Here is a 14,965-nt window from a genome sequence, read left to right on the forward strand (position 1 = left end):
CAAGGTCCTTACTTCTTCAATTTCACTGATATCACCTACTATCTGGGACTTTAGAATGAGACATTCTTGAAGACTAAGCAAACTGGAGCCCAAAATATACTCTTTCTAGAACACAATTTATAATACTCCCAAATAAAAACAGTTAATTTTGGACTTTTATAATAAACCATAAAGAATTGAGTCCTATCAAGAACTCAGAACTTTGATAATTTAGTTTCCAATTCTATACATCTTACTTTCCTTTAGTTTCCTTATTATAATTTGTCTGAATTAATTTTGATATCTATTTTTAAGACAAAAACTCTAAATTAGTGGCTCAGTAGAGTAAGAGACAAAAAGTATATTAATTAAAAGTTCAAGATAATAATCTAGGAAATTCATTAATGGAAGCTGTATATGTAAGTATAAAAAATCCCCCAATCAGAAGTCATATCCTAATATAAATTCATCCAGTTTTGATTTAGTAGAAACTTCTTATTCATCTCATGTTCATAAGCATGAATTTCATTTTTTCATACATGTGAAAGGAGAAATTCTAAATCATTTAGGAATAATATGCCTTTTTAGGAATCTAATAAGAGCTATGGACTCTCTAAAAAAATAAACATAATTCTGCTTACTATTTCAAGGGATTATTGAATAGTCGGCAACCTGCAAGTTAAGAAGCCCTATAAAATAAAAATTATGATTTTGATGGCAAAAGTAGAGAACAGATATTCAAAAATATCTCATCTGTTATGAAATGTCTCATCTTTAGCCTCACCAATTATAATATCTCATCTTCATTAGAGCAATGAGAATTTAAAATATTAAAACGTACAGGTGGTCTGCAACAAATCAACACATTTCATTTCAAAAGTAAATTTGTGGGCTGGGAGTGGAGGCTCATGCCTGTAATCCCAACACTTTGGGAGGCCGAGGTGGGTAGATCACTTGAGCTCAGGAGTTTGAGATCAGCCTGAACAATATGGCAAAACCTCATCTCTACAAAAAATACAAAAAATTAGCTGTGTGTGGTGGCGCATGCCTGTAGTCCCAGCTATTCAGGCGGCTGAGGTGGGAGGATAACCTGAGCCCAAGGAGGTCGAGGCTGCAATGAGCCATGATTGCACCACTGCACTCTGGCCTGGGCAAGAGAGAGACCCCATCTCAAAAAAAATTAATTTGTAAATGATTTACTTCGAATTTATTACACATTGTTTTCCTAATAAAAACCATGTTATAAACAATGGTTGGAGACTATTAAAACATAGGTCCCATAAGGCTAGGGGCTCTTTTTATTTATCATTTGTATTATAATGACCTATCCAAATAAATAGCATATGGTAGGTTCTTAGATAACCCTTTAAAGACCTATTTCACTCAATAATGTATTTGAATACAAGTACACTAGGAAAACAAGAAAAAATATTGAGGTAATTAACAAAGAGCAAACAAACCACTAAGCCAAAAATAAAATAATAAAATGAAACAAAAAGGAAAGAATAAAGAATAAAATAGATTTTAAATTATCTGTTGCTTAAGAGATAAGTTTATTTGGGAAAGAATGTAACGGTAAATATAGATATTTCTAGATATTATTTGAACTTATGGATTCCTTTTTACTGTGTTAAATTTTACTTCAAAATATGTGTCTTCTTATGTAGCATCTCCTTCTATGCTAAGCCATGAATGAGGTCATTTTTGGACCCTAACAATTTGTAAATGGACCAGAAGAGCAGAGGAGTTAAGATGTGTTGCCCATAGTGACTGGAAAAGGGTTGAAAGAAGTTGAGGGAGGGGAAGCACTGTTCACAGAGACTTTATATAATGAAATAATTTACTATTTATTACATATATTATACATCTTATAATAAAATGTGTCCAAGTCAGAATCAAGAAAGCTTGTGTGAACATGAGCAACAGAGGGCATGGGAATCCCATCGCAAGAAAAAAAGGTAGAGGTGGTGGAGATGGAATTTTGATTGTTTCCTAACTTTATACTGAGTCGCTGTGCTAAAGAAGATGGAAAAACTTAATTCTGGTGCCATAAACATAAAGGGCCAATTGCATATTTTCACTTGAATACCACTAAACTCCGACCAAAATCAGATAAAGTCATGAGTAATATCCCAAATCCAACTGGATGTCATTTAATATCTATACGCTGTGGTCCTACCATATAGGAAGGATATGAAAAGAGTACATGATTCTATTAAGTTCAAGGAGGCTTAAGAGTATGAGGGATCAATAGAATGGGTGGCTTTGTCTTCAGAATAGGACTTGAAGACATTTATATAGCCAAAGCAATGGCAAAGTAATGAAGGAGTGAGCTATAACTTCAGCAACAGACTCCCATATATTATATTAAATGAAGACAGGACTTAATACCAGGTATATGAACTATATACTAAGTACTTTCCCCTTTTGTAAATTTGGAATTTGACTCCCTGACCAAGTGACAAGAGACAGGTTCAGCTTGGCATTCTGAGTCTGTAGCTCAAGAGATCTGGCTGAAGAAATCTGTCAATAAACAACCTCAGCCAATGAGAAGGTAAGTAATTGTTTCCCGAAAGAATGTCTTTAGCCTGGGGAGATTTAGAATTTGGTACAACAATGAGATAAGTCAAAACTCTGGTATTGATAATTTTGGGTTGAAAAAGAAGCTATTAATATTTATTTTAATTATTTATAACAATGCTTAAGAGAATTTGGCTTATATTATTCCAATTTAATATTGGTAACTGAGTAACTGACTTAGACTTGTGATTTAAAATTGGAATCTTACTAAGTTTATAAACAGGATCAGAACATATGTTTAATGAATTAGGTTTATACAAAATTACCTCAGTATTTGGTCAGACAACAGAGGTAGAGAAAAATCAAATATAGAATATTAAGCTTAAAGGCAGTTAAAGGTGTAAGGAAATATAATTTTGTTCTAAACCCCACTTAAAAGTCAATTTTAAATGTTGCTAGATTTATAAAATAATTTATATTCAAAAGCAATAATAGCCAATTCTAGAGCATAAAACCATAAAATATAAAATCTCTAAATCTTACCATAATATTTTAAATATTAAAGCACTAAAAACAAATCAGTTATTCTTTGTGAGTAGCAACTTCTAAGAATCTTCCATAATCATTATATGAATAATAATAATTCAAAGGGTCACAAAAGTATTTAAAAGAAAAAAAGATCTCCAGGAACAGACAAACTTGAAGCTCACAATATGTGGGCTTCTACTTCCCAAAGTAAAATAACTGGATAAAATATAAATAGGCTACACTGCCCTAGATTTTCCAATCTAAATTATCAACTGTATTGCTCTTGGGATTAAAAAGGGAAGGACTAAAGAAGGATTCATATTTTACTGAACTGTGGAAAAGTGAAAAGTTAGTAATGGGCTAATTAGAAAAGTTAGTATCATGATCAATTGTGCCATCTGAAGTATGAGCATGTATGTCACAGTTACATGAAACTATGGCTTAAAAAACAAACAAAATAAAACTTTAAAATGTTTACGTACTGTTTATAAATATACATATAAATATGATTATCTATAATAATGTATTGAAACAAAATTTTAAGTCCTGAAAGTCCTAACAGTACTGACCTTTCAAATTTTTACACATATATCATATGTGACTTAAGCCAAATGTGAGATATGAATCTTTTGATTCCACTAAATCATAATCCTAAAGGTAGTAAGTGATGCATTTTGAGGTAACTAAGTTTCTTCTGAATCTTCAATTATCATTCTTGCCATTATTTCACCTCCTTCCTTTCCCATCCCATGACCCACACAATATAATTCAAAATTAGACCCTAAAAAAAAAGCCCAGATTTTTGCTTTCTTCCTAGTCAAAAAACATAGGCCCATAGAAATCCTAGATGATTTTATAACTCTGTAAATTACCCTGTCTTTCAAATACTATGTCCTAGAATTCTGACAAACTAGAATAGAGTTTAAACTGTCTCCACCCACTTCCCTCTACATCATACCCTCTGCTTCCCCACCCCCAGATGAAGGTTAGGTTGGTAAATGGATTTTGGAGATGGAATAAAGCCAGACATCAAATAACTTACTTGAAATCCATCTCTTACCTTCTGTACTTAACCCTGGACTTGATGTGAACTTGGCTACATCAACAATTTTTACAGCAAATTGTTGCCCAGTTTCTCTGTTGATACATCGTCGTACAACACTGAAGGGACCCCTATAAAACAAAAAGTCAATTTTAATTCATTGATTCTCTTAAGTTCCTATTTCCCATTAATGTCTTACTGTTTCATTATCTATATAATATAGATAATGTTTGCCATTCTACTTTAGACTCCAAATTGAACACAGTTTTCAAAATAAAATTTAAGTAATATAACTTCCAACATATTTTTCTATAATTCATGAGATAATTTTAAAAGATTACCAAAACCATAAAAATGACCAATAAATTTGCAATTTGCAGTAATTTTTTAAAAATTCTAAATAGTAGTCTTATGCTCAAGGCAAATAATGACTGTACAATTCTATATAGATTATCAACATCTTAAACAAAATAAGTGAAGTCCATAGTAATGGTGGTATTCTTATGAACCAGAAACCCAAGCCATTCTTGACACTTCCCTCTCATCTTACCCACCATTTACCTAATCATCACTAACAAATCCTACTGAGTTTATCTCAAATATCTCTTGAACCTGTCCTCTTCTCTCCATGTCCCACATCCTACCATCTTCTACTAGAACCACTGAAAAACTTGTTTCTCCCATTCATTCTTGTAATGATATTTAAAAAATGAAAATCTGATATGATATCCCTGTTTAAAACACCAGAGAGAGAGAAAGTATTTGCAATATACAGTCCAAGTCAAGAACCAAAATATATAAGTAACTTGTAAATACAATAAGAAAAAAAACACACTCCAATAAAATCTGGGCAAAAGACTTGAACAAACACTTTACAAAGAGAAAGGCCTGCGTGGTTTGGTCTCCAACCCTCTCCAGTTTCACCTGAAATCACAGAGAAATCCTTAATTTTCCTCAAACTTCAAATTAGAATTGTTTGAAATTACTAGAGGAAAGGAAGTAATTTCTATGAGCACAGCCACTGGTCTAGCTATTTGCTGACCCAGACCTCACAGTTGAATCAGCTGAGATGATTTAAAGATGCCCATACCCTGGTCCAGGGAACATGCGCGCGCGCGCGGGCGCGCGCACACACACACACACACACACACACACACACACACACACACACACACACGGTTCCCTGTGGTTACCAGTTATAAAAGAAATATCTGAACTCAGTTAAGATAATCCAAATATAGATTTGTGTGTGTGTGAATTGACTATAAAATACAGAATGCAATAGCAATGTGATTGGTTTATTTGAAGGTTAATATGGTGGTCATTAAATACATGTGTACATGTATACATGCGTGTATTTTCCCCCTCCTGGGGAGAAGGCAAACAAACAAAAAAACCACCTTCATTCGCTTATTACAGGTACAAACAGTACACCTAGATGCATGTGCTCAATTAGCAGATAGAGAAAAGTTCTTCATTTACAGTACTACACTTGTGATACTGCTGGCCTTAAAGTTTTTCTTCTTTCAACTACAGGACGAACTACTAAATTTAATCTTAGACTTAAACATTTATCCAAGATGACATCATGAGGACATCAACTATACCACAGCTTCAAATCTCTCTTTTCAAGCAACCTAAAAAAGCTAACCTGGGAGGAAAAGAAATGGTAATAATATATCTTTCAAAACTCTACAGAAAGAGGATCCTTTTGATAATCCCTCAAAACTGTTCAAAGATTTTCCTCTGTGAGAAGACAATATTACAAACTGAGGGACAAACGTTTTCATTCTCAACCTGGATGTCTTACTTCTGATTACTTATCCTGACAATAGCAAGCAATTTCAGGAAATGCTTCATGTAATTGGTTTTTGTCCACACATAAACCCTTGGGACTCTATTTATGATACATTTGAATAGTCTGCTTCAATTCACTGTATCTTTTTGGAAACTTCCCAACATCTGTATGTGGGGTTGATTGTTCATGGTCAATCGAGTCAATTCTTTACTTTTTCCTGCTTGAACAAAGGTGAGGAAGAAAGCATATCTTCTCCCCCCTTTTCTTTTAGTAACAATAAAATTAATAGAGCTAGGGAGAAAAGAGAATACTTAGACAACAAAACACAAACTTTTAAAAATCTGTGAATAAAAATCAAATCAAATCCCCAATTCTTTAATTTTATAGTACGAGGCAAAGAAAATAATTATATCTATGAACTACTGAAGACCTGAAGACAGGTTACAAGTAAAGCATTTTAAGGGTCTGTCCGTCAATGACATCCAGGGGGTTAACAATGGTAAACCAAATTTAACACCCTAAAAAGATACTAAAATACGTTTTGAGGTTTTTGCGATTTAACCCATTAACTGGAAACTCAGCAGAAACTGATAAAAAATTTAAAATTTGGCTTGGTTTCCCATCTTAAAAAGGGAGGAGTGATAAAGTAGTGTAACACACCTACTATATTACACTTATTACTTATGCTTGGATGACAGTTTAGGGAACAGCAAAAATTCAGGAGGTATAGGTTTCAGTCTGGCCTGTACATTTTATTGATGTTTGAAATCACCCTTAAAATTTTAAATCTAAGGTACAGTCAATTCTTGAATATTTATGTGGGGGAAAATACTGGTAGAGATAGTTATAAGCCGTCATCATAAACAACTATCTTTCTCATATTTCCACTAATTATGACCGTATTAAAAATGGAAAAAGATAATTGACAGCATTTCAGATTTAATGAAATATATATTCTTTATTCAACTCTTTACAAATTCTGAATATTGATTGGGATGGTAAAACAAGGTTCTACTTGAGGCAGATGGCTGCTTACAGCAGTCTATGTTTTTAAGCAAAAAGGTAAATTAAACCAGAATATGTTAGAAGTGAATATATCACTACAATATCCCCTAAGGTTTTGAAAAGAATTCAATTATGTCCCTATGCAGACACAGACTAATATCCTCTAGTTTTCATTTATGTGAAGAAAACCTAAGTCTAGGAAATAATTCTGATAACAAAGGTAAATATACCAAAATAAGACTAGAATTAAATGAAATTATGCTAGAATACAGCATGTTGGTTTCCAGGATCATGGGATAGATTGAGCACAATGTATCTAATTTATTTCCCTATCCAAACTCCACTACAATGATACCAAAGGGGTTTTTAAAAAGGATTGGGAGTACAAGAGAGGAGATAATAGTAATAATTAAATTTGGAATCCAAGAAAGCAGATGGAGAGTGGTAATTGACTTGGCAGACCTGGAAAAGCTGAACTGCAAAGAGATAATAAGGAAAGTTCAGAACCAAACCCATCTATACTGTAGAATCCCCAAGAAACTCATGAATGGGTTCCAGATAACTCTGGAACTGGAAGTGAAGAGAGGGTAGAGTTAAAGTAACAAGGTTTGAATGAAATGTGTTAGAGAAGCAGTTAGAGCCCTAGGTGGTCTCCTGTACTCCATACCATGGATAACTGCCGCTCCCTCATCCCAACAGGTTAATTATCTGGAAAGAGTAAATAAAACATAGGGTCTCTGAAAAAAAGTAGCTGGGCTTGGTGGCGGGCGCCTGTAGTCCCAGCTACTCAGGAGGCTGAGGCAGGAGAATGGTATGAACCCGGGAGGCGGAACTTGCAGTGAGCCAAGATCGCACCACTGCACTCCAGCCTGGGTGACAGAGCAAGACTCCGTCTCAAAAAAAAAAAAAAAAAACCAAACTGTAGGGTCTCACAACTGGAAACACAAGGCTGTTGAGGAAGTGGGTATTATATGAAAAGCAAGGGTATTATGTGGTCACATATACACTGAACGCAGACAGCCCGAGTCCCTTTTTGACTAACAGGGGGAATATTGGAAGCCAGATCTTTACCCTTAAGGCAGGAGATGAAAGACTTTTCTATTGAATATCTGACTAGCTCAGAAGAAAAGACCTAAAGATAATGAAGAGGTTCTCCAAACTACTCAACTAGATCATCCTCCAGCAAAACCCAAAGTCAACACGTTCCACCTGCACCTTCGGAGCTCTCTTAATCAGCTTTGAGGCCCTCTATTATAGGGTTTCCAATATCAGCACTATTAACATTTTGAGCTAGATAATTTTTTGTTGTGCAGGGATGTCCTATGCATTGTAGGATGTTCAGCAACATCCCTAGCCTCTACTTACTAGATACTAGTAGCATAGCACCCCCTGCAGCTTTAACCACCAAAAAGTCCTCCAGATATTGCCAAATATCCTCCTGGGGTACGGAAGGTTCAAATTGCCCCCAGTTGAGAATCATTGCTCTATTTCTAATCATAAGTATACAACAACCAAGGCTCCTAAGACATCTGAAGAGTCTCTAATTTGGAAGATAGAACCAAAAACAAACAAAAAGAGCAACTTAGAGGAAACACACTACACAATAAGACTTCAAATTACCATTAATATCCTCAGAAAGATATCACAATTGTGAAACAAAAACCAGAACTTTCAGAAAACAAAAGAGCCCTTGAAAAACACACAGAGAAATTTATCAATAGAAGCGTTGGCCGATAATTTGGGAAAAGCAGAGCATAAATAACAAAGAAAATGAAGGGGAAGAAATTAAGGGAATAATCCAAGAAAACTTCCCAGAATTTAAATCATAAGGAGCTCAAATTAAAAGGACCCACCAAGTACTCAGCAAAATAAATGACCCATGTCCATACACACACTGCTGTGAAATTTAAAATCACTGTGGACAAGGAGATTGTCAGGTTTCCAGAAGTGGGGGTAAAGATGTGCAGCGAGGAAGGATGACACAATTCACCCAGAATAGCTTTGGATCTCTCAATGCCAACGCTAGAAGACAATAGAGCAACACCATCATAATCATGAAGGAAAATGATTTCTAATCTTGAATTCAACATCCAGCCAGACCATCATTAACCATAAGGACATTTTCAGACAAAAAAGGTCAATAAATTACTTGCCATGCACACTTTCTGAAGAAATTATTGTAGGACGTGTTTGCTAAAACAAGAATAGACCAATAAAAAGCATGCCTGGAGACAGCAAATAGGAGATCCAACACAGAAGAGAGATGAAGGGAATCCCCAGGAATGCAAGGAAGGGAAATCTCAGGCTGACAGCTGTGCCTCAGGCACAGAGGACAACCAATCCAGACTGAGAGCCATCAGTTTTCCACTGCCACGGGCCACCTTTTTAACCTGAAAACAGAATAGGTAGGTGAGCTGCATCCAGATTCTTCTGTTTTTCTTTTCCTGACAATTGGCTGAGGAGATTTCTGTCCTTCTCTGCTGCCTAGACTAGCAGAGGACTCTTAATTTCACCCTACAGCAGTGCCTGCTTTGACCTATTCCTGAGAATGGGAGGCAGGCATCAGGGAGCTGAAGAGCAGGAAATGCAGGGCAGCCAGTGCCCCCCACCAAATTCCTGCTGGGTGCTCAGTACCTCCCCCTATCCTGCACTACAGCGGAAATGTCCTGCCTGTGAAGAGCCCCTTGTCTCGGGATTTATTTGTGCATGACCTTGCCAACCGACTTCCCAGAATGGGCTCCTAACCACTCTCAGAACATCTGAAGCCAGACTATGAACAAGAGCTTGTTCAGCTTCTCTTCTCCTAAGTCTTCATACAATAGTAGTAATATTGTCCTTTCTTTACCCAGCTAAGTTTGTGTTTGCTACTCAGTTCTAAAAGATTAAACAATATACTCCTTAGAGATACAAACATAGGGGGTAAAGCTATAAAGAGAATTTAAAAAGATTAATATAAAAGGCAGGATAGTGGTTTGAGGGGGAGGGGGTTGTGATTGGGGAGGAGCACAAAGGGCTTTTGAAGGCACTTCAAAAAAACACTGCATCTCAAACATAATAAAGTCAATATGAATTGTCAGTTGTAATTTTATATCTAATTGTAATAAATTTAAAATAATACTTTGAGTTGCTACATATAAACTTTGGAGTTACATGTTAAATTTTCACCCTATGAGAGGTCTATAAACAAAAACACATCATGTCTCAGGAAACCTTTAATAAACGCAATGAAATTTCTGTCCATAACAACAGGCCTAGAAGCCCCATTACATTTATAATGAATTGTGCAATGTACCACAAGATACGTAGGAAAACCGTGAATGATTTAAAAAAGAAAAGACAAAGATGGGGAAAGTGAAGGCCAAGAACAAATTTTTACACACATATATACACAACACACACACACAAAGTTGATATACAGCTGATCCTCATTACATTGCAGAGTGCATGTCTGTAAATTCGCCTACTTGGTAAAATTCACTTATAACCCCCAAATCAACAGTCATGGCACTTTCAGTCGTTTACAGGCACGCATGTAATGGTGAAAAATTTGAATCACCCAATGTGCATGATGCCAGCTGAGGGCAAACAAGATGATGCTCTGCCTTCTTGTTTCAGCTCTCATGCCATCAACAAGTCATCTTTTCAAAGTCTATTTAGAGCATTTTTTTGCATTTTGCGCTTTTTCTTGGTGATTTTGCTGTTTAATATGGTCACCAAGCATAGTGCTGAAGGGACTGTCTAGTGTTCCTAAGCACAAGAAGGCTGTGATGTGCCTTATGGGGAAAATACGTGAGTTAGGGAAGCTTCCTTCAGGCATGAGTTATAACAATGTTGGCTGTGAGTTCAATGTTAATGAATCAACAGTATATATTACATGCAGTATCTTTAAACAGAAGCACACATAAAACAAGGTTATGTATTGATCGGTTGATGAAAATGTTGTGACCAGAGGTTTGAAGGAACCCAACCTTGTACTTCCCCTAGGAGCAATGGTTCAGTATTGGTTCATTCAGCATTCATGGTAACTTTATAGAACACAACTACCATGAATAATGAGAATAAACTGTGTGTATTCACATATATACACACATACATGTATTTATATTATTTCATATATACTTATAATATGTAATGTTATATTTATGTGTGTGTATTCATATTAAAATATAAACTTAATGAGTACCCAGTACACATTAGGCCCTCAAAAAATATCTGGTGAATGATATAAGAAAAATGACAAACTAGAAATGAATAAGCCATTGATACATTTATTAAGTAACGCAATTTTATGTAAGTACATAAAATTTTGAGAAATCATGGTGCTTCTAGATATTTCTCTACCCATTTTCTAAATCTGTGTCTTCCTACTACTTTTTATACAGTTCTGACGTTAAGAATTGAGGGACATAGATGGTGGGTAGGCAAAAAGGAAACAAAGCTAAAATAAAATAACTATAAATGACAACATTAGCAGTAAGAATAAAATCTTGAAAATTATAGACATATATAAATTTATATAAAAACTCTACCGATTAAAGATAACGATGGTCTGTTCCCTATTTCAACACTATTTAGTGTAGTCATTGCCACTAAAGAAGAGCTTATGCATATAATTTCATCAATAAATCCTTTCCTTGTCTTCCTGTGCTTTGTGATAGCTTTGTGAAAGCTTTTCAACCTAAAGGTTTACAAAATCAGCTGTGACAATGATTATCGCGGTAATCAATGTGATAGCAGTAAGGGAACAGAGATGCTGTCCTGACACTTTTTAACACTTCTGGTACCCATCCCCAGCTCCAACACATATGCTTACATACATTCACCAAGCTGAGTTGCTTTAGGTACAGTGATTAAACCAAAGAAAAAAAAGTTTTCCTACTCATTGCTACCGCAAAAAACACACACGGAGTGGAAAATTATTAAAATAAAAGTCTCAGGAACTGTTGCCTAAATGTTAACAATTAAAGACTTGACAAAGGAGTATGATTCAGATCATTCCTTGAAAATAGAAGGGGGAGGTTTATTTGAAACAGCTAGCAATGAATCTCCAATAAGCTAATGGAACAAATCTAGCTCACCTGTCAAAGCTGAACAATTCAGAGTTAAGACTAGCATTTACTAACTCAGTACTTATATTGACATAATTAGTACCTCTGTCACACCTTGATACTTCAGTGAAGTTTAGTAGACTTCACTTTAGATTTCATGTAGCACACCATCTTCTGGTCTGAGTCTAACTATAATACACTCATCATTTACTACTTTTATGAGAGGACTGCCAGTCACATAAGGCAATTTCTGCTCAAAGCAAAGGTTCTGGAAAATTTGATTGGTGTGTGTGTGTGTTTGTGTGCGTGTGTGCGTGTGCATGCGTGTGTGAGAAGGGCTGGGGTTAGAGCCAATGTAGAGGGACATCGATTCTAGGTCTTTGTTAGCTCACACTTGATGGAGGATATATCAAGAACTATTAATAGAGAAGAAAAAAGATTTTTATAACATAAGAAATGTGAAGAAGGAGATTAGACATGCATGGAAAGAAACAAGCAAGAAAACATATGAAGATAAACCTTACAAAAGTGAGAATTCTGACTTGGTTACACACTTTAGGCAATCTTAGCTAAATCAAAAATAAATATTAAAGCACTAAGATTTTAAAAATTCTATTGACATTTGCACATTTTATCTTATTTACCTCATTTCCCCAATGAAAATAAGACAAAGAATATAAAGAATAAACAAGAAAAAGATTAATAAAGCAATTCTTGTCCTCAGGGAACTTCCAATCTAGTAGGCTGCTGTTGACATATGTGTGTGCGTGTATATATACACATATATAATGTATATATATTACATGTATATATACACATATATAATGTATATATATTACATGTATATATGTATATATAATGTATATATTGTATATATGTATATATACATACAATATATACATATAATATATAGTATAATATACATACAGTATATATAGTATAATATATAATATATAGTATATATACATTATATGTATATATACTATATATACTATATATGTATGTATACATATGTATATATACATTATACACATACATATATACATTATGTATGTATACATACGTTATATATAATGTTAGTGTAAAGTTATAAAGTATAGAAATAGTATAACACTATGAGTTTTAAAAATCTGTGGATAGCATGGTACTGAGAGAAGGCCTCTATGACACACGGACATCCTGGAGGGCTTGAAACAATGAATAGGAGTTTGTTGGGCTAAGCAGGGAAAGGAGAGGATTCCAGAGGTAAGTAATAGCCTGTGCAATGGCCTACAGCCAAGTCAAAACACAGGGCATGGTGTTTTGGGCCCTGGCAGGGTGCAGTGGCTCATGCCTGTAACTCCAGCACTTTGAGAGGCCAAGGCGGGCAGATTACTTGAGGCCAGGAGTTCGAGACCAGCCTGGCCAACATGGTGAAACCCTGTCTCTACTAAAAATACAAAAATTAGCCAGGCATGGTGGTGCATGCCTGTAATCCCGGCTACTTGGGAGGCTAAGGCAGGGGAACTGCTTGAACCCAGAAGGCGGAGGTTGCAGTGAGCAGAGATCATGCCACTGCACTCCAGCCTGGGCAACAGAGCAAGGCTCTGTCTCAGAAAAAAAAAAAAAAAAAAAAAAAAGTGTGTGCTGGGCACTTCAAGCTATTTGGTACTGCTAGCATGAAAAACTGGAGGGTGAGAAGTGGCTGGAAAAGGAAAAGGGGACCAAAGATCACTATGACAGAGAGTGAGAGACGTTGTGGAGTGGGTGGGAGCCACTCAGGAAGTTATTGCATTAGCCCAAGCAAGAGGTGATAAAGTAAAGGCGACAGAGAGATACTTAAGAAAATAAATTCACAAGATAACACAGTGAATGATTAGCTAGATGGTGGTTGGGGTTGAGTTGTAAGAAAACTTACAAATTTCTGGCAACAGTTACTGGGTGAATGATACCACCAAATGAGAAAGGAATTACAAGAGAAAGAACTGATAGAAGGCTGAGAAAGAAACGAAGCACATGGCTATGTTTGGAAAATATTGGTTTCCATGGAATATCCAGGCAGAGATTTATAGAGGGCATATAGATAGGAGTATAAAGTTCAAGGAACGGGTCATGATAATGAAGACATCAACAACTGTCATTTATAATATAACATGTCAGCAGCAAGCATGCTGCTAAGAAGTTTACATAGATTCTTGTTATTTATCATAATTTATTTGTCATCATAGCTAATATAATATCAGCCTCATTTTATAGATTAGGAAACTGAGGCTAAGAGGTTGTCTGTGGTCAAACAGTTAGTGGATGTTAGAGCTAGGACTGGAGCCTAAACATATGGAACTTTGAAATCTAAATTCTTAACCTCTATACTCCCTAGGTAGCATGAGTGAATGAGAGGTAATTGAAGCCATTGCTGCTAATGACAGCACTTCAGGATACAGAGGACAGAGCCCCAGAAAACATGAATATATCCCCAAACCCCTCCCCAAGGGGCTGCTGGAAACATCCCCATAGAAAGACTGTAAGAAGCCCAGAAAGGAAAAAGAAAAAGTGCTAAAGGCAAGCTCTTAAGGTACAATATCTTGTGGAGATAACAAACAGGAAGGCCTAGCAGGGTCTGCCCTAAACAGGAACACTCCTCTTAAGGCTGGTGCAAGAAAACCATAACTTTCATTTTTATGTTAAGAGCTATATATTCACATTTTGTTATTTTCTAAATGTGGGCCTATACATCAGAAATTGGCCCAATGAAAATATTTAGTAGAGAAACAACTTTTTTGAAATTCACTATTGACCTTTTTCTCCTCCTCTTCACTCCTCCTTCTCTACTAGTGTTCATAAACCTAATTACTTTTAACTAGTACCTAGCATTATCACAATTGTCAAATTCTCTGTGCATAATCCACTCTTTGTAAATGGAAACTAATAATTATGGAAGTCTGGAAGTCTGAAATTACATTGTAAATCATATTTCTAAGGGGTGTGTTCTGTTAATATGCCACTAACATAGGTTGTTTTCCAAATGCTACATTATCCTATAATAGTATTGTTGCAAGCCATTAATCA

General features: G+C 35.5%; 1 protein-coding gene across 11 annotated transcripts in view; it reads right to left on the reverse strand.

The window, feature by feature from the left end:
• CASK (calcium/calmodulin dependent serine protein kinase) overlaps positions 1-14,965 on the reverse strand; it is a 408,621-nt gene that overhangs the window by 334,094 nt on the left and 59,562 nt on the right. For 7 of the 11 annotated variants that reach the window (NM_001126055.3, NM_001410745.1, NM_001126054.3 and 4 more), the window contains exon 2: positions 4,088-4,200. In NM_001126055.3, coding sequence (NP_001119527.1) covers positions 4,088-4,200 — 113 coding nt within the window. Of the gene's footprint in view, positions 1-4,069; positions 4,201-14,965 lie in introns of all 11 variants that reach the window. The other 4 variants (XM_011543996.3, XM_011543995.3, XM_011543994.3 and 1 more) reach the window with 1 other exon arrangement.

This window comes from Homo sapiens, chromosome X (genome assembly GCF_000001405.40).
Source record: "Homo sapiens chromosome X, GRCh38.p14 Primary Assembly".
In the NCBI taxonomy this organism is placed as follows: Eukaryota; Metazoa; Chordata; class Mammalia; order Primates; family Hominidae; genus Homo; species Homo sapiens.